This window comes from Homo sapiens, chromosome 6, assembly GCF_000001405.40.
Source record: "Homo sapiens chromosome 6, GRCh38.p14 Primary Assembly".
In the NCBI taxonomy this organism is placed as follows: Eukaryota; Metazoa; Chordata; class Mammalia; order Primates; family Hominidae; genus Homo; species Homo sapiens.
Window position 1 is genome coordinate 21,249,901 of NC_000006.12, and position 27,783 is coordinate 21,277,683.

General features: G+C 41.8%; 6 annotated features.

Moving 5' to 3' along the window:
* Positions 13,471 to 13,971: an enhancer, noted in NCBI's record as "H3K4me1 hESC enhancer chr6:21263602-21264102 (GRCh37/hg19 assembly coordinates)". NCBI's record gives its function as "activates a minimal SCP1, AML or CMV promoter by ChIP-STARR-seq in naive H9 embryonic stem cells {active_cell/tissue: H9 hESC(naive)}" and the evidence as "EXISTENCE:reporter gene assay evidence [ECO:0000049][PMID:30033119]".
* Positions 14,148 to 14,197: an enhancer, noted in NCBI's record as "active region_24136". NCBI's record gives its function as "activates an Ori minimal core promoter by ATAC-STARR-seq in GM12878 lymphoblastoid cells {active_cell/tissue: GM12878}" and the evidence as "EXISTENCE:reporter gene assay evidence [ECO:0000049][PMID:35858748]".
* Positions 14,218 to 14,277: an enhancer, noted in NCBI's record as "active region_24137". NCBI's record gives its function as "activates an Ori minimal core promoter by ATAC-STARR-seq in GM12878 lymphoblastoid cells {active_cell/tissue: GM12878}" and the evidence as "EXISTENCE:reporter gene assay evidence [ECO:0000049][PMID:35858748]".
* Positions 14,288 to 14,407: an enhancer, noted in NCBI's record as "active region_24138". NCBI's record gives its function as "activates an Ori minimal core promoter by ATAC-STARR-seq in GM12878 lymphoblastoid cells {active_cell/tissue: GM12878}" and the evidence as "EXISTENCE:reporter gene assay evidence [ECO:0000049][PMID:35858748]".
* Positions 25,683 to 26,187: an enhancer, noted in NCBI's record as "H3K4me1 hESC enhancer chr6:21275814-21276318 (GRCh37/hg19 assembly coordinates)". NCBI's record gives its function as "activates a minimal SCP1, AML or CMV promoter by ChIP-STARR-seq in naive and primed H9 embryonic stem cells {active_cell/tissue: H9 hESC(naive and primed)}" and the evidence as "EXISTENCE:reporter gene assay evidence [ECO:0000049][PMID:30033119]".
* Positions 26,188 to 26,692: an enhancer, noted in NCBI's record as "H3K4me1 hESC enhancer chr6:21276319-21276823 (GRCh37/hg19 assembly coordinates)". NCBI's record gives its function as "activates a minimal SCP1, AML or CMV promoter by ChIP-STARR-seq in naive H9 embryonic stem cells {active_cell/tissue: H9 hESC(naive)}" and the evidence as "EXISTENCE:reporter gene assay evidence [ECO:0000049][PMID:30033119]".

Sequence of the window (27,783 nt, forward strand, 5' to 3'; positions counted from 1 at the left end):
TCTAGCGATGGAGTTTTATCGATCACCTTTGCTTTTTATGACTAAAAAAACAGCTCCGTTCTGCTGATGGAATCCCAAAGGTGTCCCAGGGGCCTAGCAGAGAAGACAAAAACAGGTTTTACCCTCTTCACAATTTGGCCAACTTTGGCCACCTCAGCCAGGGACCATCCTTATGACAGGTTAAGCAATCAGGGGCCCACCAACTCTGGGATGAAGACCCCCTTTGGGAGGAAGTCACTATGTGCAGCCCACTCTTAAGAAGTAAGCAGTCTTGTTCCACCTGCCTGAGAGTGGATATACAAGCGGACTTCAAAAAGTTCATGGAAAAATTGAATTAAGATACAAATTAAAAATATACACTTGATATAACCTCCATCAGGTTCAACACACTTTTGTAAGCAGCAATACCAGCCATTTAGTTCACTTACTCAATGCAGTCATTTTTACATGATTAACTGAAGAGAAATGGGTGCCCTTTAAAGATGTTTTAAAGATTAGGAAACAAAAAGAAGTCAGAAGGAGCCACATCAGGACTATAAAGTGACTAATGATTTCCTAATGATTTTCCATAGAAACTCTCGCAGAATTGCCTTTGTTAATGAGAGGCACGAGCAGGAGCATTGTCAAGGTGAGGAAGGGCTCTCCGGTGAAGCTTTCCTGGGCGTCTTTCTGCTGAAGCTTTGGCTAACTTTCTCAAAATACCCTCATAATAAGCGATATTATCTTTCGTTGGCCCTCCAGAAATTTAACAAGCAAAATGCCTTGAACATCCAAAACACTGTTGCCATGACCTTTGCTCTTCAGTGGTCTGGCTTTGCTGTGACTGGACCACTTCCACCTCTTGGTAGCCATTGCTTTGATTGTGCTTTGTCTTCAGGATCATACTGGGAAAGCCATGTTTCATCTCTTGTCAGAATTCTATAAAGGAATGCTTCAGGATCTTGACCCTACCCATTTAAAATTTCCATTGAAAGCTCTGCTGTTGCCTGAAACTGATCTGGGTGCAACAGTTTTGGCACCAATCAAGTGGCAAGTTTGCTCAGCTTTAATTTTGCAGTCAGAGTTGTGTAAGCTGTACCAGTTGAGATTATTTATGGTGTTGGCTATTGTTTGTGCTGTTAATTGTCAGTCCTCTTCAATTAGGGTATGAACAAGGTGAACTTTTTCTTCACAAATTGATATGGATGGTCTTCTGCTGTTGGCATCATCTTCAACATAGTCTCATTCCTTCTTAAAATGAGTTATTCATTTGTCAAATGCTAATTTTGGGGATGCATTGTCCCCATAAACTCTTCATAAAACATCAGTAATTTCACCATTCTGCCACCCAAGCTTCACTATAAATCTGATGTTTGTTCTTGTTTAAATTTTAGCAGAATTTATGCTCTGATCAGGGCTCTTTTCAAACTAATATCTTATCCTTAGTGCCTCAAAGTAGATTCTGTTCGGACATGTTATAACAAATTATATGAGTTTATTTTGGTGCAAAAAACTTTTGAAATCCATGCATAGTTTTTTCATAATATTCATTTTCCATGGATTTTTGAAACCCCTTGTATATATGAATTATTTGAAATTCTTTGGCATAGGAAATTAGTCTTTTCTCCCTATGTCATTTATTTATTTAATCATTTATTTATATCTGTATGGACTTATGGATACTTATTTTATACTTTGGGTTATAATCTAATACTACTTCATTTTGCTGCTCAAATTATTCCAGCTTTGGCCATTGGGAGATCTTTCAGGTGATTGTGTTTCTTTAATATATACCATCAGTGTGGTAATGTTTTGGTTTTGATCCCTTTACTTTCTGGCACAAGATACTCCAGTCACATCCTGTATATTTCCTGCCCCCATCCTAGGATCAGCCATTTCTCCAGGGAACCCTGGTTATTTTTATTAGACAATGCTATTAGAAACCAAGATCTGGGTGCCAAGTATGCTTGTTGCTGTTAAGGTGTCATTGTTTTTAGACCCTCTCAGCTGACAGAGCAAGGAAATGTATGTGTGTATACTAAATTGTATATATACACATTTCTATAAACATTTCTATATGTAATCATCTGTATCTGTATTAAGCTAAACATGAGTTTATATTCATGTCTCCAACTCTAAGCTATTACCACGTGTATCCTTCTAGCTGCGTTCTCTGCAAATCCCCACTCTAACACTGGGAAACCTGACTCCCACCATCTGCTAGCCATGTACTTAACTGTTCAGTTCCATATGTATGTAGAGTAGTATCAGAATTGTTAACCTGTAACCCTGTGGAAAGCAACTTTATTGATTAGAGTACAGTTCTTTTGTACAGTTCCTTTTGCCTTTAGTCTTACAGACTCTGCTCATTTCCAAAGTTAGGTTAGTACCTTATTCTGCCATGCCCTTCAGTGAAGTTGTTTTATACATTTGGATTCTTTTGCCACATTTTGCATTCCATCATAACTTCCAAAATGATTTTTAAACTTTGCATACATTAAGGTTTATTCTTTGTGTTGTATGATTTTATGGGTTTTAACAGATGTTCAATGTCTTATAGTCACCATTACAGTATCATACAGAATAGTTTCACTGCCCTAAAAAACAACAACAAAAACAAAACAAAACAAAACTATTCTTCATCTATTCAGCTCTCTTGCCCATTTCCTGGATCCTGGATTCCTGGGATCCATGGATCTATTTCTCATCTCTCCAGTTTTGTCTTTTCTAGAATGTCATGTAGTTGGAATCATGTAATCTGCAGCCTTTTAGGCCTGGCTGCTTGCACTTAGGAATGTGCATTTAAGATTCATCCACATCTTGTGGTAGCTTGATAGCTCATTTTTTTATCATTGAATAATATTCCATTGTATGGATGTACCACAGTTTGTTCACTCAGTTGGCTATTACAGGACATTTTAGTTGCTTCTAGATTTTGGTATATATGTATAATACTGCTATAAACATTTGTGTACAGATTTTGCATGAATTTAAATTTCCAACTCATTTGGGTAAGTACCAAGTAACAGTAAGTGTGACTGCGGGATCATACAGTAAGAGTCTGTTTAATTCTGTAAGAAACTGCCAACTGTCTTCTAAAGGGGCTGTGCCATTTTGTATTCCCACAAACAGTGAAAGAGTTACTATTTTACAGCCTCCCCAGCAGTTGGTATTATTAGTTTTTTGGATCTTATCCCTTCTTATAGTTGTACATTGGTATCTCATTATTGTTTTAATACATTCTCTTTTAAAGGGAAACAACACAGAATGGTCTTCTATTTCACAGAGCACACAATAGTGTATGAGCTCTGGAAACTGAATCAATATGAATGAGACTGGCCGGGCATGGTGACTCACACCTGTAACCTCAGCACTTTGGGAGGTTGAGGCAGGTGGATCACCTGAGATCAGGAGTTCAAGACCAGCCTGGCCACCATAGTGACACCTCGTCTCTACTAAAAATACAAAAATTAGCCAGGTGTGGTGGTGCACACCTGTAATCCCAGCTACTCAGGAGGCTGAGGCAGGAGAATCACTTGAACCTGGGAGGCGAAGTTTGCATTAAGCCAGGGTTGCACCACTGCACTCCAGCCTGGGGGACAGAGAGAAACTCTGTCTCACAAAACAAACAAACAAAAAAATATGAATGTGACCCTCCCACCACCACCACATGGTCCTACCTTCCTCACATCTCACACCCTCAAGTGGCACAAAGAGAAGGGGGCTTTTATTGCTAAGGAAAACTTACTGAAATGGTCTGGGATGTGGCACACATTTAATATAAAAATGTCTGAAGACGTTTTATTCACAATAATCAGAGTAAACAATGGTAGAAAACAGTCATATCTCACAGTTCACACCAGACTCACAAAAGCCCCCCAGTGGCTCCTTCAGCCTGTCTAGACAGCAGTTTCCATTACAAGTGTCTTATGCTGTGACAAACTATCACAATCATGAGGATAGCTATTGGAAAACACTGAACCACTCTACAGACAGCCGGTGTTCCCTCAGCCCTATACAGTTTTCTCCAGAGTGTGCACACTTTGAGAAAGTAAAGTACAAATCGTTCTATCACTTGCACACTAAGTGAAAAATGCAAAAATCAAAAAAGAAGGAAACAGGACACAAAATCTAAAAGCAATAAACACTATCTATCCAAATCCACATATTCAAACAAAGAAGTTTGTAGAAGTTCCTTTAGCAAGCCACCAGTTACTTAGCTAACAACACTGACTCACTCTCCTTCCCTTTAAGTCATGTACCAACCGAGGACCCGAAAATAACTCTGGAAACTTCTATACAATGCCTGCACTTCTGCTCCCAACTGATGGGTCAGTTGTTTGTCCCCCTAATGATATTTTACTTACAACTATGCAATTTATTTAAATAATATTACGGAAGTGAAATGTGAGTTTAGAAAGAAATAGACTTGTGGTCATGGTTTCAATGAAAACCAAATAGAATTCTTTGTAGACACATGATAAAGGTGAGTTGCTAACAAAAATGGTAAGATAACTACCAAAGAGGAAAATGCTGTGCAAGTGTAGAATAATCTTGCACCCAGATTTCTTCACAAGTGACCAAATTCTCATTCCTCCTTAGAGAAACAGAAACTGGGAAGTTGTATTAGTCCATTCTCACACTGCTGATAAAGACATACCCAAGACTGGGTAATTTATAAAGGAAAAGAGGTTTAATGAACTCACATGGCTGAGGAAGCCTCACAATCATGGTTGAAGGTGAAGGAGGAGCAAAGGTACATCTTACATGGCAGCAGCAAGAGAGTGTGTGCAGGGGAACTGCCCTTTATAAAACCATCAGATCTCATGAGACTTATTTGCTATCATGAGAATAGCAGGGAAAAACTGACCCCCATGATTCAATTACCTCCCACCAGTACCTCCCACAATACATGAGGATTATGGGAGCTACAATTCAAGATGAGATTTGGGTGGGAACACAGCCAAACCATATCAAAAGTGAAGATGTTGTTTATGGATATGCTTGATACAAAAAATATAACCTGGCCAATTCCAGTCAGTACACCCATACTCAAAGAAAATTCTCGAGTGTGAAAGGAAAAGATTGCCAAATGAATAGACATTTACATGTTTTAAAGTCATTTTTTCTTTCTCAACTTTAACCATAGTATTATTTCAGTTATCCAACCAACTTGACCAAGTATTAGAAAGATATTGCTAATGTAATGCTACCTTAGATAAACCAAAAAATAAACACCCACCATCCCCTGCTCTGATTTAACCATACTTTAAGTTGCCCACAATTTCATTGTCCAATAAAATGACTAAACTCCGGCTCCCACCTGGGCCTACCAAAATATTGACTTCCTCAGCCATGGGAAGTGCAGGGAAGTCCTGGGGTAGCTGACCTGGCTTCTCAGTGTACCCCAGTATGCTGTACTGATATTGCCATTTTGTCTGTTTTTGTCATTTTTGCATATGTTGATGTGAAATATGTCAGAAAGCACTGGAAAGGGTGCTAAGTCAATATCTGACAGATGAAGCTAGCTAACTAATTTTCACTCTCATTCCATATTAAAACAAAAACAAGGCAATAAATAGGTTATGTCAATCAATGAGGACATCAAATGTCTTATTTTGGACACTGATACATTGTCAGCTTCTTTTCTAAGTATTTGGAACTAGCAACTGTAAATATTCAGTGGTTTTCAGGTATTGTACATTTTTATCTGTATGTCCTAATCATGGAAATTGGCATTGTATAGTTGTGTAACAGATTATTTGGAGTACCTTAACTAAACTACACTTATTATAAAATGATAGCGTTTATTGTCTAGCCACTATTGTTCCTTTGTTAATTTGTTAAATCATTGCCCCATTCAAAATTGCTCAAATACTTTTACTAAAAAATACGAATCTTATCATTCATTTTCTGTGAATGAATGCAATATGTGAGTTTTAAAACAGCTTTGGGGATACATTTCAAATTACTAATGGAGATTTGCTTTGAATTGCCTGATTCAGTTTTCTGGGTGACCATTTATTTTGATAAATTCTTAAAATTAATGATACTCTTTAAAATAAGTTTTCTTAAACATCAGTATTTAAATTTTATAGTTATCAAAGAACAATCCCTATGTGGACATTTGCCATTACTGTGCAACTATGGACTTTTGAAAAGAGAATGATCTATGAGTTCATGATATTCATTTAACATTAATTCTCCTACCTGCTTCTAAAAGGATCTGAGTTTCTTGAGTCATTGTGTCTTCCCATAATTACCATCTCTAGCATTTACGAAATAATGAGTTTACTTTATCTATTCATCATTAGCTTTTTCCTAAGAAGTTTCAGTGTTTCTCTAGAGCAAATTACTTATGTCATAAGCCACAGAAATTTAAGAAAAAAAGAGGCCATAAGTTTACTTCCCATTCACATGAGGAAAGCACGTCCCAGGCTTTCCTGGAGACCAAGGCTCACTATCCTTCATGAAGACGTACTGGAGCTGTTGTACTCCCAGCTGTCAGCCACTTCCTAGCTCCCTGTGCTATGATTTACTATCATCAGTCATCCTATTGTCAGAAAGGATTCAAGAAAAAGAAAGAACTAATGTGGTCAGGCATGGTGGCTGATGCCTGTAATACCAGCATTTTTGGAGGCTGAGGTGGGCTGATCAGAAGTTCGAGACCAGCCTGGCCAACATGGTGAAACCCTGTCTCTACTAAAAATACAAAAATCAGCTGGGCGTGGTAGCAGTTGCCTGTAGTCCCAGCTACTCAGGAGGCTGAGGTAGGAGAATCGCTTGAACCTGGGAGGCGGCTCCAGCCTGGTGACAGAGTGAAACTCCATCTTAAAAACAACAACAACTAATGAAAAAGAGGAGAAAAAGGGAACTATCATAAAACTGGAAAGTTTTCCAATTTGCTGTTTAATTTCAACAATTGTTCTTGAGAATTTTTCAAAGAATTCAGAATATCACATGGTAGAACTAGAAGAATCATATCTCAATAAGACTAAGTCCTTGCCACTAACTAGAACCAATGCACAACCACTTCTAGAAGACATGTATTAATACAAATACATAGAAAGAAAACCACATGTGCTTTTTCATTTTGCCAGGCACAATAGTAGGTACTTTATAGGAGAAATCTTACTGAACACAATCAATAGTCTTTAGAGTTATCAAAATTTTGAAATAGTTCATTAATCCACATAGTATTGAGACCAGACCTGTTAATAATTAGACAAAGATAAAATTAAAGATGGCTGTATTTTCTTTAAGAAAATCCCTAGGTATGGCTGTCAAAACTCAGAGAAGAAGCCTAGCAGCAGAGAGAAACTGAACTGCATAATGAAACAACACTATTTACAAAGACTCAACTTTTAAAACGTGCCATACATGATCATTTCACATCCTTTCTGAACACAGCTGCCTTAAACCAACTCTACCACCCATTGGCCAGCACAGAAAGTTGTTTAAAAACTGTTTCCTGGCCAGCTGCAGTGGTTGACGCCTATAATCTCAGCACTTTGGGAGGCTGAGGTGGAAGGTTTGCTTGAGCCCAGGAGTTTGAAACTAGCCTGAGCAACAGAATGAGACTCTGTATCTAGTAAAATATATATATATATATAATATATGTGTATATATATATAGCATATATATTATATATGTATATATATAGCATATATATTATATATGTTATATATATATAGCATATATATACATATATAGTATATATACATATAAATATTAAAAAGAAAGTTCCCCATTAAAATTTTCCTCCCTCTAAGGAAAGGTTCCTGCCCAACTCCTGACATATTCATCCTTCTGTCTTCTTTTCTTCCAAGCATTTAAGGATATCTATTATGTGCTAAGATCTCTTAAGTAGTGGGGATATGGAAGTGAAAGATACAGACACATCCACAAGAAGCTAACAGTGTTTAATAGGAAAGAAAGCCATGTGAACAATATCATTTTTGGGGTTAAAGAATATGTTCTGTGCTGCAAAATGCTAGAAAAACAATGATTTCATCTGATTTGCATGATTATCATTTGTATATGTATGTTTGAAATAAATGGCACAGCCCATAAGTCTAGAGTCATGAAGTAGCTAGACTCAAGAAAACTTCAAAAGGAGTCATGAAACTAATACATGACAAACTAAGAGAGGAAAAAAAAAGAAAAGAAATACTAACATTATCAAAGTAGGTTATCCTTAAAATATAAACATCCTCTGCCACAATATTTCTTTCCCTTCCCACATTGTTTTTGTTTTGTTTGAGACAGAGTCTCCCTCTGTCACCGAGGCTGGAGTGCAGTGGCACAATCTCAGCTCACTGCAACCTCCGCCTCCTGGGTTCAAGTGATACTTGTGCCTCAGCCTCCTGAGTAGCTGGGATTACAGGCATGCACCACTACACCTGGCTAAGTTTTGTATTTTTTATAGAGACAGGGTTTCGCCACATTGGCCAGGCTGGTCTCAATCTCCTGGCCTTAAGTGATCCTCCAGCCTTGGCCTCCCAAAATGTTGGGATTACAGGCGTGAGCTACAGTGCCTAGCTCCACTCTGTTTTAAATTCACACGTTCTGTCTTGACTTCCTTGTTACTTATTCTGTGGATAGTTTCTTTCTCTCATTAGCTTTATCTTCTCCCTTTCTTCTTTGGATGGTATAGCTTCCAATATAAAAATAAATGTATTTTTAAAAGCTTAAACAAATTATGGAGAAAATTACTCACATACAGCCTGCAGATAGGCAGGTATGGGGGCTCCGTGATGACTTCGGGATCTCAAATTCTTCCTAGCTTTCTGCACCAACATTCTCAGAGTGTGATGGTTGCGTCCTCTTGGTATACGAGGGCTGTCTTATCCTCAGCCTCACATTTGTTTTCAGGCAGGAATAAAGACAAAGGCCAAAAGCACTTCTAGCTGAGTTGGCTTTTTTTTTTTTTTTAAATAAAGGTCTTCCGAGAATTTCCGCCCTAAGATTTTCACTGGCCAGAGAGATATCACATGTGCATCCACTGTTGCAAGGCAGGCTGGGAAATGTAGTGGTTTGGAGGCAGGTGCTTTACCACCAGAACAAAATTGGCGTCTGTCAGTGAAGGATAAAGGGGAACATGGAGGGGACTAGCAGTGAATGCCAAGACTGTGTGCATCTCACTCAGGCCATCCAGACAGTTCTCTCCTTTCTACAGTGTTCCTTCACGTGAGTATGTCCTTGTTGATCTTCACTAGCTCCTTGTTTTATCCCGTGGCTCAAAGCTCTGCCTAGGAGACTGTCTTAGGAAGCTTTAAAAATCCCACTGCCAGATCACACCCCAGACCATTCCTATCAGACTCTCTCACACACCGGTTCTCAAATTTGGCTGCACGTTGGAGCCACCTGAGAAGTTTTAAGAACGACTGATACCTGGGTGCCACAGAAAACAATGTGATTGGTCTGGGGTACAGCCTGGGAATTGGGAGTTTTAAAACCTCCACAGTGGCCTGGCGCGGTGGCTCACGCCTGTAATCCCAGCACTTTGGGGGCCGAGGCAGGCGGATCACGAGGTCAGGAGATCGAGACCATCCTGGCCAACATGGGAAACCCCGTCTCTACTAAAAATACAAAAAATTACCCGTGGTGGTGGGTGCCTATAGTCCCAACTACTCGGGAGGCTGAGGCAGGAGAATGGCGTGAACCTGGGAGGCGAAGCTTGCAGTGAGCCGAGATCATGCCACTGCACTCCAGCCTGGGCAAAAGTGGAAGACTCTGCCTCAAATAAAAAAAACAAAAAACAAAAAACCTCCGGAGTGATTCCACTATGTAGCAAAGTTTGAAAACCATTGTGCTAGGTTCCAGCCACAACGTTGTTAATGCTCCCCAGGTGATTCCAATACTCATCCAAGACTGGGAACCGCTGCATTAAGGCATCTTCCTCCTTAGCAGAAAGCTCATTGGTGTGAGTTGGGAGCAGATGGGGGCACCCTGCCTGTTTTTAACAGCTGGGATTAGAGTCCACACCACTTGCACCTGTAGACACACCACAGAGAGGAAGCTATTCAAAGACAGAGATTAAGAAAAGGGAGTAACTTAATCTCTACAGGCTTGTAAGACACTAGCAATCAGCATTTAGATTTGTGAAGATCTTTGTAGAGGATTTCTCATCCTTCCACATTTTTACATCTGTCATCTCTTCCCTGTGTGTGGGCCTTCTCAACAGCTGGGTCAGATTTTCACCTTTTAACTGTGGGGAGTGGAGGGTGAGAGTGCTGTGGGCAGGGTGAGAGGGGCATCTTCCCCGTTTAAGGCTTTTTTGGGTATGACCTGTGAATTCTTCACTCTTACTGAGAATTTCATTTTCCATGAATTCTTTTCTGTGGTCATACTACTCTGTTAATTCTGGATGGGTGAGACAAAGTGTTGTGTTCACAATCTGCCTGTTTTGAGTTGAAAAAGAGGTCAGAACAAATATGAGATTATTTTTTCCACTCATTTATAATTAATAGCAATTAATTCAATGTTATTGCCTAATCACTTATGTTTGAGCTGGATGATTTCACCTACAGCAGAATATATCATTTCAGAGGACTTAGTGATTAAACGAATGCTTTTAAAGCATTTCCAGAGCTTGACCATTTGGCCCAAACAAAACAAAAAAAGCTTGCTGTAGGGATAGGCTAAGCTAAGACCACTTTGCAGAAACAGTCTAGTGAAAAGAGATAAGACTGCAGACTCACTAAGAATTAGGATAAAAGAAAGATTATGTTTGTTTGGGGTTTTTTTGGATGGGGTCTTACTCTGTCACCCAGGCTGGAGTGCAGTGGCATGATCTCGGCTCAATGCCACCTCAACCTCCCAGGCTCAAGCGGTCCTCCTACCTCAGCCTCTCGAGTAGCTGGGACTACAGGCATGCACCACCACGCCTGGCTAATTTAAAAAAAAAATTTTATAGAGACAGGATTTTGCCATGTTGCCCAGGCTGGTCTCAAATTCCTGGGCTCAAGCAATCTACCCACCTTGGCCTCCCAAAGTGCTAGGATTACAGGTGTGAGCCACCACACCTGGCCAAAAGAAGATTTTGAAATTGGGAACATAGATTTGGCTGTCAGAATCCAAGTGACACCAAATATAAGGTGGGAGTTTCCTAGACAATTCTCCAAAATGTCACCCTAATACACTTTACATGTAGGTTGGTCCTTCTTGAAATTCATCCAATGGTATCAAAAAGAGTTTGTTATAATAATAGGCACCATGTATTAAGGATTGACTTTGCACCAGGTGCTATTCTAGGCCCTTTCTGCACATTATTTAATCCTTACAAGTCTATTTTACAGAAAAGCAATTGAGACTAAGAGGAGGAAAAATGACTCGACTGAGGTCCCACAGCTAGTAAGTGACAGAGCTGGAATCTGAAACCAAGTCTCACCTTAAGTGTTTCCTTTAATTACATTAGCTAAAGAAGAAGGAGGAGGAGGAAGGAGAAGTAGGAGGAAGATGAAAGAAGTTTGAGAAAGTGTTACAGAAATGCTCAACCATCTGTACCTATTTTCTCAAAATATTTTAATCTGATGACTTCACCTCCACATTTATTTCTGGACACAGGATAATCATTTCATCAGGTAAGATGGGGTAGTGATGACAGGCCCTCACTAAGTATGAAGTGAATGAACGAATGTGGTTTATGCCCCATTTCCTCAGCTATAAGGTGAAAGCAAGTTGTGTCACAGTTGATATGGTTTGGATTTGTGTCCCTGCCCAAATCTCATGTCAAATTTTAATCTCTAGTGTTGAAGGAGGGGTCTGGTGGGAGGTGACTGAATCATGGGGGTGGATTTCCCCCTTGCTGTTCTTGTGATAGTGAGTGAGTTCTCATGCGATCTGGTTATTTAAAAGCATGTTGCGCCTCCCCCTTCTCTCTCTTCTTCCTTCACCAGCCATGTAAGATGTGCCTGCTTCCCCTTCTGCCATGATGGTAAGCTTCCTGAGGCCTCCCCAGCCATGCTTACTGTGGAGCTATAAGTCAATTAAACCTCTTTTCTTTATAAATTACCCAGTCTCAGGTAGTTCTTTTTAGCAATGTGAGAATGGACTAATACAATGGTCAAGCCTGCAGAGCAGTAGGGACACACAGTGCCAAATAATATATGCACAATTTTCACAGCAACAGCTAAGGTAGTGACAGCACCTGTAAGCACAGAGTTGTTCTTTTTGAGAAAATTAACTTCTGCTTGTATCATTGCAGAGCCTCTAGTCTTTAATAGAATGAGCAATGGCAGCTAAAATTTGGAAAAGTGATAAGTGTGGCCTCATCATCTCTTTCCATGATTCCTCTTTTCTGACTTTCCTTGAACTCCTATTCAGTAGGATCTTGTTTATTGTCTTCTGTGTGTCCCGCATTATCCTGGGCATTGTACACAATCTAAACACAATTTCCAAGCCAGAAATGTATTCCAAGTTTATTTCTATTTTTAAAAATCTTCTATGATCATGCCACTGCACTCCAGCCTGGGTCACAAAGTCCCGTCTCAAAAAAACAAAAACAAAAACAAACCCTGAAAGCTAAAGGTGATTTTATAAACTTCTGTTGGGTACTGGTTGCTGACCATATAACATCTAAACTCCTGAGCATATAAGCATAGTGTAAAAAGTTGTCCCTCTGTGCTGATAACCTGCCCTGCCAAACTAATGCTTGCTAGTCATCTCCATTGCAACTCATTCCAGCTCTTCTGAGATTTCCATTATTTTCTGGGGCTTGCTTGGTCAACTGATGACTCTATGCCTTTGCACGAACAATGGGTTCTGCTTGGAATACCTTTCCCTCTTATCTGTGTAGTGTACTCATATTCATCCTTCAAAACCCTGCTCACACATCCCCTGAAATGCCTTACCGACTCTTGGGTAAAGTTGCTCTTCTGTTTTCACAGCTCTGTTCACACCTCTATGACAATATTTCCCGTTGGAACTTTTCCCATAATAGAATTTGAAATCCTCAAGGGCTTGGATGTGTTATCTTTGTCTTTCTCACACCTGCCCGTTGTAGGTGTTTAACGGAGGTTTTGCTGAGTAAATTAATAAAATTACACAAAACGGAAACTGTCAGCTAACCCAGCGTAGGAGGGTACTAGATGTAAGGAGTATTTTTGTAAGGGGAAGGAAAGGTGTTGGAAAATATCTCATTCGTAACTATTTACATTTTAACATATTTAGAGATGGTGAACAGGAAGAAATAACTAGGGGATTTAAATGTGTTTAAAATTAATACATCACATAGCGCTTATAAGTATAATGAAATTCGAGGCGTGGTATCTCTTGACTTGAAACCATTTCTGGAGGCCTCATGAAAGAGGTAAGTTTGCAACCTGAGCTTGAGAGATGAGAAGCAAGGATCTCTTTCGTTCACGGAAAAACGGGCCTAGAGAGCCACTTCCAATGAGGAAAAAGAACATGAATCTGAAAGTCTAGATAAGCTGAGCGCTTGGTACCTGGCAGGTCCTCAAGAGTGTCTGGGGTATCCACCTCGCACCCCTCAACTACTCCAATGTTTAGGTGAAACAAACACAAGATGCCAAACAAGGCACAGCCTCATTACCCAAAGCACACCTTTTCTGAGAAACTGTGGAGGATGTGGCTTCCACATCCCAAACGCAAACCTAAAACCTAAGTTTCAATGGACTTGCTCCTCCCTAAGTCTCAAAGATGGAGGCTGGTTCTCGCCTCCTGGAGAGCTGGGGCTGCTGCAAAGGTTCTGAGCCATCTCAGAGTCTCAGTCGCCCCCGCCTGTGGAAGTGACAACTTGGGGGTCCTAAGGCTGCTTCTAAAAGACAGACCCTGCGCCCTGCACCAAGGGAGAAGTATGGGGTGTGGAAGGAGAAGCATGCGCACTGCCGTCCTCGCCAGACTGTGGGGAGGCCTTGGGAGCCAGCTTCCGGGCCAGGCCGGAACCAAAATGGCCCCACCCACTAGTGCCATGGTCTCCTGCGGCCAGAAAAATGGCTGCTCTTGTGTTCTGGAGGGGTGAGTAGGGGGTCCAAAGAGGGGCCACCAGTGTTTACTCCACACTGCTGCCTCCTTGGCAACGGGGGTAATTCCTTTTTTGCTCCAGAAACATGGGCAGATGTGGTTCGCAAGGTGTGCTTGGAGGCGTGACAAAGGCTGCTCCAGGAAGATGAAGAGGTGGGAGGTGTGCATGGATCGTGGTAGCTGAAGGTGTTGTGGGCAGAAAAGTCCTCAGAGGAGGCAGGGCCTGTCTGGGGTTGGAATGAGTCAGCGTCATCCGTAAAGGCCAGTTGCATCATGTCTAAAAGTAGCCCGCAAGTGTTGGGGCCAGCTCCCCACTTTGAATTTGTGAAAGACTTTGTAATCCCACGTCACCTAGCCACAGGCACTCCAGTATTAGAATCACAATATGTGAGAGCCAAAAGAGACATGAAAATCAACTGTTCAACCCTCTTATTTTACAGACGAGAAAAAAGAGACCAAGAGGGATTTGATGTCAGGCTTACAGTTTGATTACACCCTCCGAAAACATCATAAATTTCTGCTGTTGTTCTGTGGTGACACTCAAAAGACTATCCTTGTCATTTTCAAAAGGTGTCAGGTTTCCTACGTGGGACAAACCTCTAATTTACAAGCTAGCCTCTTCACGATGCAGCCTCTTTCGGTTCATTTTCAGTTCATCGTTGGCCACTGAAAATTTAAGATCCCTGCGGTGTGAAGGAAGTGTTAAACTATACTGTTAGTGGAAGTAGGTTGTGCTAAATTGGATATCTGCAAGCAGCTTTATGAGCCATAAAAGTCAACATCTTTCTTTCATTACCTTTAAAGGCTGTTTACAGAAAAGATAAGGCAGGCCCAGCTCAGGGTACCCATTGAGAATTAGTGGGAGGATCTGGTAGGAAGGGATAACAGGAAAGGATTCAGAATCGATGACCAGGCAGTGGAGACAGTGGCCTATGGACACAGGGACTAGCATGTCATTTATTTCTTCAGGAGCCTGCTTGTCACACTGATGTGGGACCAGGCTCCAGATGAAGGACCCAGTCAGAAAGGCTGTCATAGCTGGCTTCATTCTTCCTAACCCATAGCTGGTTTCACGAGCAGCCTTCCCACCTCGGGGTGGCATTCATTTCATAGATCTTGTCAACACTTGGTAAAAACTTAAAAAACCAGCCTATCTTATGCAGTACATTCTTTCGGGTTCTTCATAAGTCCTCAGTGTTTTCAGTCTGTTTCCTACCTCTCTTAACCAAAGCTGGTATGGTGCGGGTTGCACATTCACTTACAAGGAAAATACACATCCTCCTTTCATTTTCCTGTTCAATGATTTGCATTTCTCTAGAAGACTCCCACCTCATTGGGTTACTGGGGGGAAGGAGAGTGAGTGAGAGAGGAAGGAATACAAAAATGGCTCTAATCCATTCCAAACTAGTGATCTGTTCATAATGATATAAGAGCTAAAAGAGAGCTAAGTATGTGTAAGGTACTCTTAGGCATTTAAAAATGTCAGTTCATTGAACAATCATAACACAATTTTATGGGTACAACGATGAACCTCTTAGGACAGATCAGGAAGCTGAGGCACAGCAAGGTTTTATGACAAGCCACACAGTGAGTAATTGGTGGAGTGGGAGCCTCTTTGATGACACATAAGTGATCAGCCTTTGAGAGTTCCCCTCAACCCCCTTGCTCTTTTTGAATGTGACATCTAGGAAGACCCAGGGTAGGGCTGTAGTGAAAGAGAAGAGGACTGGTCCTTAGATTCACATGGTGGCCTCTGCGTCCTCCCTGGTCTCTGTAGTAGAGTGGTTGACCTCAAGGGCTACCTGGCCTGGGACCACCTGCCTGGCATTAAAAATGGGCATTAGCCCTTCAACAGAAATGGGCCATCTTTACAAATCAACACAACGTGTAAGCACTGAGCTTATGCTCATGAGACTAGCAGAACGTGTTTGGAGACATGAACAGACACTTCTTACAAGACATACAAGTGGCCAAGAAACATATGAAAAATTGCTCATCATTAATCATCAGGGAAATGCAAATCAAAACCACAATGAGATACCATCTCATACAAGTCAGAATGGCTATTATTAAAAAGTAAACAAATAAGAGATGTTGGTGAGGCTACAGAGAAAAGGGAACACTTACATACTGTTGGTGGAAATCTAAATGAGTTCAGCCACTGTGGGAAACAATTTGGAGATATCTCAAAGAACTTAAAACACTACCATTTGACCCAGCAATCCCATTACCTGGTATACACCCAAAGGAAATTAATGGTTCCACCAAAAAGACACATGCACTTGTATGTTCATCACAGCACTATTCACAAAGTGCAAAGATATGGAATCAACCTAGGTGCCCATCAACAGTGAATTACATAAAGAAAATGTGGTACATATACACCACAGAATACTATGCAGCCATAAAAGAGAATGAAATCATGTCCTTGGCAGCAACAGGGATGCAGCTGGAGGCCATTATCTTAAGTGAATTAACACAGGAACAGAAAACCAAATACTACATGTTCTCACTTATAAGTGGGAGCTAAACATTGGGTACACATGGACATAAAGATGAGAACGGTAGACACTGGGGACTACTAGAGAGGGGTGAGAAGAAGAGGGGCAAGGGTTGAAAAACTAACCGTTGGGATACTATGCTTGCTATGCGGGTGAAGGGATCATTCATACCCCAAACCTCAGCATCATGAAATAAACCCAGGTAACAAACCTGTACATGTACCTGCTGAATCTTAGTAAAAGTTGAAAAAGTAAAGAAATAAGTTATTTTTTAAAAGAACATGTTTTGGGGAAATGTGGGCCCTCAAATCTCTATTTCAGGCGAGGTTGAGGTAGTAGAGGAACCCATGGGAATTCTTTGTTTTTGTTTTTGTTTTGTTTTTTGTTTTTTGGTGTTTTTTTTTTTGAGACAGAGTCTCGCTCTGTTGCCCAGGCTGGAATGCAGTGGCGCAATTTCGGCTCACTGCAAGCTCCGCCTCCTGGGTTCATGCCATTCTCCTGCCTCAGCCTCCCAAGTAGCTGGGACTACAGGCGCCCACCACCACGCCCGGCTAATTTTTTGTATTTTTAGTAGAGATGGGGTTTCATCATGTTAGCCAGGATAGTCTCGATCTCCTGACCTCGTGATCTACCCGCCTTGGCCTCCCAAAGTGCTGGGATTACAGGCGTGAGCCACCGTGCCCGGCCCCCATGGGAATTCAAGGATGAGGAGTATAGCTTTCCCCTTACAGAAGTCCATTCAAAATTCACTAGGATGACCCAAGGAGTCAAGTTTCAAGAAACAATGTCTTAAATTACTTAGAAATACTGTAGTATTTGCCACAGGAGTTATAAATGTGTGTAAGTAGAAGACAGAAATCAATTCCAGTTCTGATGTGTGAATAAGAGCAACCTTTGGCAAAGAGGCAGAGGCTACATGTATTCTTCATGATCAAACAAGAATATAACTGCTAGAAATTGTTTGTCAATGTACAGTGGGGTTCCTTCGAGAGAATCTTTGGCTGAGAGGGACCCCATGAGAAGAACCCCATGATTTAAACCTCCAGGAATCTCTTCAAGATTATTGATAACTAACAATTAGATGGTATATTTTGATTCTGAATATGCAAAGAGAAGTACAAGGAGAATTTTACCCACTAAAGAAAAATTAAACATTTAAATCATCGTTTGTATATCCATGTTTATGGCAACATTATTCACAATAGCCAAAAGGTGGAAACAACCCAAATGTCCAAGGGATAAATAGGTAAACAAAATGTGGCATATACATAAATGGAGTATTACTGAGCCTTGAAAGGGAAGGGAATGAATAATAAGGAGTGAAGAAATAATAATAAGGAAGGAAGGAAGGAAATTTGGACACATACTACAACATGCATGAAACTTGAAGACATTATGTGAAGTGAAATAAGCCCGTCACAAGACTAATATGGTGTGATTTTACTTATATGAGATATCCAGAGTAGTCGAATTCATAGAGACAGAAGTGGAATTATAGTTGCCAGAAGCTGAGGGGAGAGGGGAATAGGGAGCTATTGTTTAAATGGATGTAGAGTTTCAGTTTTGCAAGATGAAAAAGTTCTTCTGGGGATTGGCTATACAGCAATGTGAATGTGCTTAACCCTACTGAATTGTGCACTTTAAACATGGTTACTTCGCTGGTAACCATTAAACCACTAAAATGGTACTGAACTCTATAGTTTGAAATGGTTACTTAATGCTATTAAATTGTACCCTTTAAAATGGTAAATTTTTGCAGTGAGCTGTGATTGTGCCACTGCACTGCAGTCTGGGCAGTAGAGCAAGACCCTTTCTCAAAAACAAAAGGTAAACTTTATGTGTGTCTGACCACAGTTAAAACTAAAAAATAAAAACATTCATCTCATCAAAACTGAAATGTGCAGTTAAGATGGTAATAATTTGTTCTATGGTCAAGGAAAATGCCTCCAAGAGTATTTCTCTAGCTCCCTATTCTTTTTTTTTTTTTTTAGATGGAGTCTCACTCTGTCGCCCAGGCTAGAGTGCAGTGGTACAATACCAGTTCACTGCAACCTCCGCTTCCCAAGTTCAAGAGATTCTCCTGCCTTAGCTTCCCGAGTAGCTGGGACTACAAGCACGAGCCACCACGCCGAGCTAATTTTTTATTTTTAGTAGAGATAGGGTTTCACCACGTTTGTCAGGCTGATCTCAAACTCCTGATCTCAGGTGATACACCCACCTCGGCCTCCCAAAGTGCTGGGATTACAGGAGTGTCTAGCTCCCTATTCTTAAACCAGTACATTGTGAAGCATAGGTGATTGCTGTCAATATTATTTCCCAGGAATTTAAGAAAGGAAGTTCTACCTGAATTCAGGTCTATGTAGAAAGTTCTCTTGGTCCTAGCATACTGAGATAGGTGAATTCAGTAGTGAAGGCCTAGTGGGTATTTTAAATTGGTGATCACCTCAGCTTCCTTGCCAAATGCAAGCATCTATATTTTGTACTGCAGTCTCTCTCCTTGGTTGCTCGTCAAACAGTGAACTTCAGGATATGCTAGAGCCTCACCATATCTCTGCTTCCTGCCACTTGTCTGCCATTGTTTTTGTAAATCGCATCCTGGGTCACAAGGGCATCTGAGTGAGAGTGTGGTGTGGTGAGCGCCAATCAGGCAGGGCCAACCATCAGGGCTCAGAAAACTTTGTTCTCTTCTTGAATTAAAGGATGAATGAGGCCGGAGGGTGCATCTTGCACCCATGTAGAAGATGGTCCGTGTCCCCAGCCTGCACAGAGACTGACAGCATCCTTTTGGAGGCATCATGGCGGGTAGTCATGCTCTATACCACAGAGTGTACATGGGCCTATGCTAGCTGAGGACCACCCTCTTGAATGATGACACTTTCACACCAAAAATGACCTCATGCTAGCAACTCCCTACTGATCTTTACTGTCCTGCCAGCCTATCTCCTGCCTTCCGACAGGAAGCGATGGTGGAAAAGCTGTCTCCTCCCAGCACCAGCACCAAGCAGCGTCAAGCATGTCTGCCACGTTGGCATTTGTCTGAGTTGGGCTCAAGTGGCGAGATCGCTTCTTTCTGGGAATACCCCAGTGTTCAGTACGTTTAGAGAGAGATGTTCCTGCTTCATGTTTAAATTGGGGATTGGGCCGGGTGCAGTGGCTCACGCCTGTAATCCCAGTACTTTGGGAGGCTGAGGCGGGCGGATCACAAGGTCAGGAGATCGAGACCATCCTGGCTAACACGGTGAAACCCCGTCTCTACTAAAAAATACAAAAAATTAGCCGGGCGTGGTGGCGGGCGCCTGAAGTCCCAGCTACTCGGGAGGCTGAGGCAGAAGAATGGCGTGAACCCAGGAGGCGGAGCTTGCCGTGAGCCGAGATTGCGCCACTGCACTCCAGCCTGGGCAACAGAGCGAGACTCTGTCTCAAAAATAAATAAATAAATAAATAAATAAATAAATAGGGGATTGAAGCTGGTTTAAATGAATGTTTTTAAAACCCCAAGGGGAAGGTGAAAGTATTTTTAAAGAGATGCTGGGCTGTCCCCTAGTAGTTTCCTAGGGCTGCCATACACATCACCCCCAACTGTGGGGCTTAAACAACAAAACAATTGATTCTCTCTCAGTTCTAGGGGCCAGAAGTCTGAAATCAAGGTGTTGGCAGAGCTGTGCCCTCTGAAGTCTCTAGGGGAAAAAATCTTCCATCCCTCTCCCAGCGTCTGATGGCTCCAGGCATTTTTTTGGCCTGGAGCTGCAGAACTGCAGTTTTTGCCTCTGTCTTCACATAACGTTCCTCCCTGTGTGTCTGAGTCTGTCGAATCTCCTTCTGCCTTTCTTTTATAAGGACACCTGTCATTGGATTTAGGGCCCACTGACCATCCGGGATGATCTCAGCCTTAATTACACCTGCAAAAATCCTTTTTCCAAATAAGATCATATTCACAAGTTCTGGTGGGACGTATCCTTTTGGGGGCAGCTAGTCAAACCGCTACTATTTACAGTAATGTTTCAACCAACATGGTGGAAAATGGGCTAAAACCTTTTTGGAGTGGTATTGGTTCTGTTCTACATTTCTGTGTCCTCCAGGCCCCGGACCTGTCCAGCCAAGGCCCAGAAACCCAGGCACCAAGTCCCATCCCTCCCTTTCTCTCCTCCCCAGTTTCTCACTGCCCGCCCCCCCAACTCTCCCTCCCAAAGCTGAAAATATCCTTTTAAGCACATGAACCTGGAGAAGTTAAGCATTTTGTGCATGCAAGGTTATCCAAGTGAGCAGAGGGAGGGCTGGAGCTAGAGTTCCTGATCCCTAATCCAGTGTCCTCTCTGAAAGAGTTATTCTAGAGTCGAATCGCTAGGTTAGAAAGCGTGGAGAGAAGAGCTTTGGAATTAGAACATGAAGCTTCCCGCACTGCTGGCAGCATTTACGGGCTGTTTCCAAAGAAACCTATCAGCCTGTCAACGTTCCCACAGCCCCTCTTACCTTCCCGGTGTCACAGGCACCACAATGTGCAGACAAATGCGCTTCTCACAACCTCCTCAGCCAGGAGCTATCCAGGCAGTGTTTCATGTCTCCTGTCCAAAGCGTATGATGGCAGCGAGTTCCAGGCAGCTGCACCACGGCACTGGCTCTGTGAACTATGCTGTCAATTTTTATTTTAATCCTCCTTTATTCACAGTTTGATTTCATTTAGGATTGGCCTCACTTCCTGTTCAAATCCCAGGCCTGTGGCCCCACTCTCACTGGCAGAACTGCCTAGTCGTCACTACAAAGAGAGAACTCTGCCCTAGACTCTCGTAGAGGAGTTTGGCTTTTGTGTTAACTCAATCTTCCTGGGCAGCTCGCAGTCCTAAAGCAGAAGTCAAGAGACAGCGACAAGGAATTCCATCTTTGCTTTCTGTTGCTTGGAGCTATGCTGATTTGGAAATATTTATTTTTTTTCTTTCCCATATCTGGTTTGCTTTCTCGTGTACGTGAGGAGTAGGAATAAATACACCACGAGCAGATATCTGAAATGATCACCTCCTTGAAAATATTTGAAAAGGGAGATTAATAAAGCATTCTGAATCTGCCCTTGGGCTGCTTGTCAAGTGAGAAAACACATTTTTTGGTAAAGGACTCCTCTCAGGTCGAATGTGAAGGCTGGAAGCTGATCTTTTCAGCAAACACAAAATGGAAATCTAGTATAGGAAACAGAAGCGGAGCCAGCGAAGCCCACTGGCCTTCATTTGCAGCGTGGCATCCTACAGTGACCAGCAGGAGGAGGTCAGCCTCGGCAGGGAAGGGCCATGAGTGGCTTTCTGTCTGGCTGCCTCAAGGGAACACCCCTGAGAGCTGTGGCTGTTGCACTTACATTCTCTGCTTTATTTGATGTAAACCCACCCTAAATGTCTGCCTCTTTGCAAAGCTCATTTACAGTTGTTTGTTTCTTTGTTGAGACAGGGTTTCACTCTATCGCCCAGGCTGGAGTACAGTGGTGTGAACATGGCTCACTGCAGCCTTGACCTCCTAGGCTCAGGTGATCCTCCTGCCTCAGTTTCCTGAGATTATTGGCATGCACCACCACACCCAGCTAGTTTTTCTATTTTTTGTAGAGACAGGGTCTTGCTGTGTTGCCCAGGCTGAGGCTGGTCTTGAACTCATGGACTCAAGCCATCCGCCTGCCTTGGCCTCCCAAGTGCTAGGATTATAGGTGTGAGCCACTGTGCTGGGCCTTTTTTTGTTTTTTAAACCAGAGAGATTAAAGCCCCTCAAAAAGCAGATGCAACCCTGAGAATAAATGTGCACTGATTTCAAGCCCAGAGTTCAGGAATAGCCAGGAGATAACGTGAGTTATATACGCACCAAGTAGCACAGGCCATGAAAGACAGCAGGGGTTGGAACTAACCAATTGGAAACGTAGCCAGGAGCAAGGTGCAAAAGCAAAAATGGTGTTCCCATCTTCTTGGCTTTCCAACGGGGCTGGAAGTCATAGTGTGCTCCATCTCAGACTAGAATTTATATCAGATAGACTCTAAGACAATGACATGCAGATTTTCGAATTTCCCACACTTTTCAAGATCAAATACTATCTTTTCCTATACCTTTCCAGGTTTTCCTCACCGTTTGCTCCGAATCAACGGCTCCTTCATTTTGTACACCCATGAACAGGACTCTGTCCCTCTTTTGAGGCACACGGAAATGACGAAGTTGAAATAAATTAAGACATTTTTGAAAGTTCAGACATAGCTAGTATGATTCAAAGCCAGTGATCCAAACCAGTGATTCTGACACCATGGCCAGTGTTTTCTCTCTTTTTTGGGGGAGGATACATAAGTATTTTAAGTACATAGAGTTTGAATTGCCAACACGACACCCATTTGGGGATTTGCAGTGGGAGGGGAACAGTGAGTCAAGAAGTAGAGAAAAGTCTAGGCTAGAAATGTTCATTCAGGAGTCATTTGGTTGAAAGTCGTGAGATTGATGAGAATGTTCAGGGAGAGAGTATCAAGGGAAGCACAGAAACCTGATGATAAACTTGAAGGAATTACCCAATTTGGGTGTCGAAGGATAAAATGTAAGCAAATAGAAGGGGTAGTCAGAGAGGTGGGAAGAGAACCAGAAAAGACTAGTGCCATAGAAACCAAGAGAGTTATAAGTAAGAGGCCGTAGTCAAGAGGATTTAATTGGAATTACTGGTTTGCAGGAGATCAGATCCAAAAAAGTTGTTTTTTCTTTTTTTTTTTTTTAAGTTAAATAGGCAATTGACCTTAGAGATCTTCAGTCTAGGCCTCTTTTCTGAGTTTCTGAGTACTATATTTGTATATCAATGTGCTTACTTGACATCCCAAAGGTACCTCAAATCATATATTCTTTCTTTCTCTCTCTCTTTTTTTTGGGCACCAAAGTGGTCAGCAAAGCAAATCATATATTCTAATGTCCTGAACTTACATCTTCCTCTCTTTACTCCACCCCCCAAATGTGGTGCTCCTCTATGGCTGCTATTTTAGTCAATGTTTCTAGCATCTATTCTGTTATCCAAGAGTAGCCCTTGGCCACACCTTCTTCCTTACCTACTGTATACAATTCAACATCTTCCTAGCTGCAAGGGAGGCTGGGAAACTGGCTGGCATTGGCTTGGACTGGGACTTGGCAAATGTTTTCTGTAAAGGGCCAAATAGTAAATACTGTAGGCTTTGCAGGCCATATGGTCTCTGTCACAACTACTAAAATATGCCCTTGCGGTGCAAAAGCAGCTATAGAAAATGAGTAAATGAATGGGCACATCTGTATGCCAATAAAACTTTGTTTATAATACCAAGAGCTGGGCTGGATTTGACCCAGGGGTAATTTGCCAACTCGTGCCAACAAAACATGGCCTGTTCTGAAGAGCTGGGAACATCATATTTCCAAACAAAGTCATGATTCTGTAAACTAAAAGCCAGAGGGTATTTAGTGGTGGGTATTCAGTGTCTGCTACCCTGGTCAGTAGGATTTACTTCTCTGGGATGGGAACTCCCTATAACAACTATCTATCAACTATTGGAGGTTTTTGTTGAATTATGGAAACTCTACTTTTGTGTGTGTGTGTGTGCGCGCGTGTGTGTTTATGTGTTTAAGACAGGGTCTAGCTCTGTCTAGGCTGGAGTGAAGTGACACGACCACGGCTCACCATAGCTTTGACCTCCTGGGCTCAAGCAATCCTTCCACCTCAGCCTCTTGAGTAGCTAGGACCACAGGCACACACAACCATGCCTGTCTAATTTTGGGGGTTTTTTAGTAGAGCTAGTAGAGACAAGGTCTTGCTATGTTGCCCAGGCTGGTCTTGAAGTCCTGAGCTCAAAGCAGTCATCCTGCCTCAGCCTCCTAAAGTGCTGGGATTACACGTGTGAGCCACTGTGCCTGGCCTAGTTTTTTTTGTATTTTTTGTTTTTGTTTTTGTTTTTTATTTTGTTTTGAGATAGAATCTCGCTCTATTACCCAGGCTGGAGTGCAGTGGCGTGATCTCAGCTCACTGCAACCTCTGCCTCCCAGGTTCAAGTGATTCTCCTGCCTCAGCCTCCCAAGTAGCTGGGATTACAGGTGCGCTCTGCCACACCCAGTTAATTTTTGTATTTTTAGTAGAGACGGGGTTTTACCATGTTAGCCAGGCTGGTCTCGAACTCCTGACCTCAGGTGATCCTCCGCCTCAGCCTCCCAGAGTGCTGGGATTACAGGCATGAGCCACCGCTCCCAGCCTACTTTTGGTTTTTGATAAAGGGTACGGTTGAATGTTTTTTTCTTCTTCTAGCTATTGCTGGTTAAAGACTTAGTCGTTCTGACCACTGACTTTGGAAAAGGGCCCCACTAATTCTACCAATCACTAAATTATCCAATTTCTAAACTGATGCTCTGGCTCTAGAAACTTGATGGAAGGAAAAGTAAGACTGAAATAGCTGGAGGGAGCTGTGAGGGCAGAGCACCTGCGCTGGTGTGTATGTTAATTTGTTTGGAAATATTTATCTATGCATACATAGATGGTACTCTTGATGAGTAACTATATTTGTGCTGCACTTACATGCTTTTTCTCCGCCGTTAATGCAATCAGTGCACATTATAGAGGCATGAATATGCAAATGTTGAATAAAGCTTGAATTTTTAAATTAAAAAAGCTAAATCAGGGGAATTATAAGCACCCAATTTAACATTTTAAATATGAAATGAAATGTTCTCCTTCATTCCCATTCATTGCCAACAAAAATTCGTGGATTTTGTTGATATTCAGCAAGGAACTTGATTATTTTATCCCGATCTGTTTTTGAAGGAGTTGGCTTGGGTTTTGGAGAGATCAAGACAAGTGGAGGATGGGGGAGAAGTGTAAGTCTTGAGGAAAATGTCTAAAGAACGACTTTTTTTCCTGTCCTGTTTGATGTCGTTGCCGCACGAAGCAGCTTATTGCGTGTGTACTTGCAAAGGGTATCAGCATATAAATACTCAGTTGGGAATTAAATTTCCGAAAAGAAGCATTTTCCCCACTCAATTTTCTCTTAATTCAGAAAAATTACTTTTAAATTGATGAAGCACAGCAGCTTATAACAGTTACATTTTTCTCCCCCAGGAATAAATATAGGCTTCTCCCTGCTCCCTTTTCAACCTGGTAAACAAACCCTCTCTCTTCAGGCTTGACTTTCCGAAGAGGAAAACGAGCCTCTGTACTGGTTTGGGATTAAAGAGTCTGCACTACAATCGGCTGATGATTTATTAAACATTTCCTCATGTGGAAATCAGTACCGTCCATAATTAAATTACGAAGACCTATGCCAGGCCCTTTGGAGTTTAGAATCTTCCATGGTCTAAGCAGCTGGGTGAACTTGGCCTAGTGGCTGGTCATGATATCAATAGTAATTGTACCTTATAATTATGAGGCACTTTATTCAAAGTACTTCTGCCTGTGTGTCCTGGTTTAGTTTGAAACCTACCTCTGGGCCTCAGGGGAAGAATGGATTAGGCCACCTCTAAGTCCCCTATGGAGCTACTGCTGTGAGTTCTTTTTTTTTTTTTTCTTTTTTTTTTTTTTTTTTTGGAGTATCGCTCTGTCACCCAGGGTGGAGTGCAGCAGCATGATCTCGGCTCACTGCAACCTCCGCCTCCCGGGTTCAAGCAATTCTCCTGCCTCAGCCTCCGAGTCGCTGGAGCTACAGGCACACGCTGCCAGGCCCAGCTAATTTTTTTGTGTGTTTTAGTAGAGACAGGGTTTCACCATGTTGCCCAGGCTGGTTGCGAACTCCTGAGCTCAGGCAATCCACTCGCCTTGGCCTCCCAAAGTGCTGGGATTGCAGGCATGAGCCACTGCGCTCAGCCTGCTGTGAGTTCTATAAGGTATTGAAGTGGAGAAAAAGGGAGAGGGCTAGGCTAACGATAATGACATCAGATTTAAGTTTAATTTATATACTGGTGTGAACAAGTAGGAAATCCTGTGTGCAGTGACAAAACCAACGCTTGATCCCTGCTTTCCAATAAGCATTAGTATTTATAAAGCTTTGCACTTTGGCTTCCTGGACTGGTCATTTTATAAAGGAAATTCCTCCTACAGTTTATCTTATCCTCAGTATTTTACACCAAGTATTACTCTCAAAGCTCAAAGCATGCAATCTGAAATTCTTTGGAGAACTTTTTCCATTGCTGTAGGAAGTCTGAAGTCCTTCCTGCTACAATGGAAGAAGAAAGAAGTGCTCAAGGAGTGACTGAATCACCTAAGTTAGCATTAAATTCATAGCTACAGAAAAACCATGTCTCTCTATTCTCTTGTCTTCTCTGAGATGGAGGGCTGGCAAATGTTATTTTGTAATATCCAGTTTCAACTAAATGTTGCTTTTATTTAAACACAAGTGAGAAAAAAACATATTTTTATTTATTTATTTGTTTTTGAGATGGATTCTCGCTCTGTCGCCCAGGCTGGAGTGCAGTGGTACAATCTCGGCTCACTGCAACCTCCATCTCCAGGGTCCAAGTGATTCTCCTGTCTCAGCCTCCCAAGTAGTTGGGATTACAGGTGCCCACCACCATGCCCAGCTAATTTTTGTATTTTTAGTAAAGACGAGGTTTCGCCATGTTGGTCAGGCTGGTCTAGAATTCCTGCCCTCAGGTGATCCGCCCGACTTGGACTCCCAAAGTGCTGGGATTACAGGAGTGAGCCACCACACCTGGCTAAAAAAATTTTTTAATGTTTTATTTTGAAATAATTTTAGATTGCAGAAAAGTTTCAAAAATAATACAGTTTGCTTATATCCTAGTTTCTACTGATATTAACCTCTTAACATTACCACAGAACATTTGCCAAATCTAAGAAATCAAAATTGACTAAAGTCCAGACTGTATTCAGATTTCATCAGTTTTAGGAGAATATTTTTAAGTCCTAAATATCTGAGTGTATGCAGAAGGTTCAGCTCGGCTGTTTCAAACTCTATGAAACTGAGCTTATGGGATCAATCATATTATTGAATCACAGAATGGTATATAAGGAAAGAATTTTAGAGCCCATATAGTTAGTGCTACTTTTAAAAGAAATCCTCAGTTTTGTAAAGGAGGTGAATAAGTCCTTTGAGGAACCTGAAATTATTCAGGGCCAACATAACTTTAGTATTCTCTGCCCAAACAACTCTGAATAGTGGTGGCTTCGGTCTTGGCTGCCCTTTTCTTGTTGAGAAAGAATCCTTGTATGCACAAACACATTCATCCAGCATTGAAATGAAAACATCTCTTACATTGTCACGCGCAGAAACATCCCAATACTCACAGTCCTTTTAACCTACAAAAGGAGGAATTCTGTGGCATCAGCCACTGCAGAACAGAAAGGTGGAGTTTGTGGAGA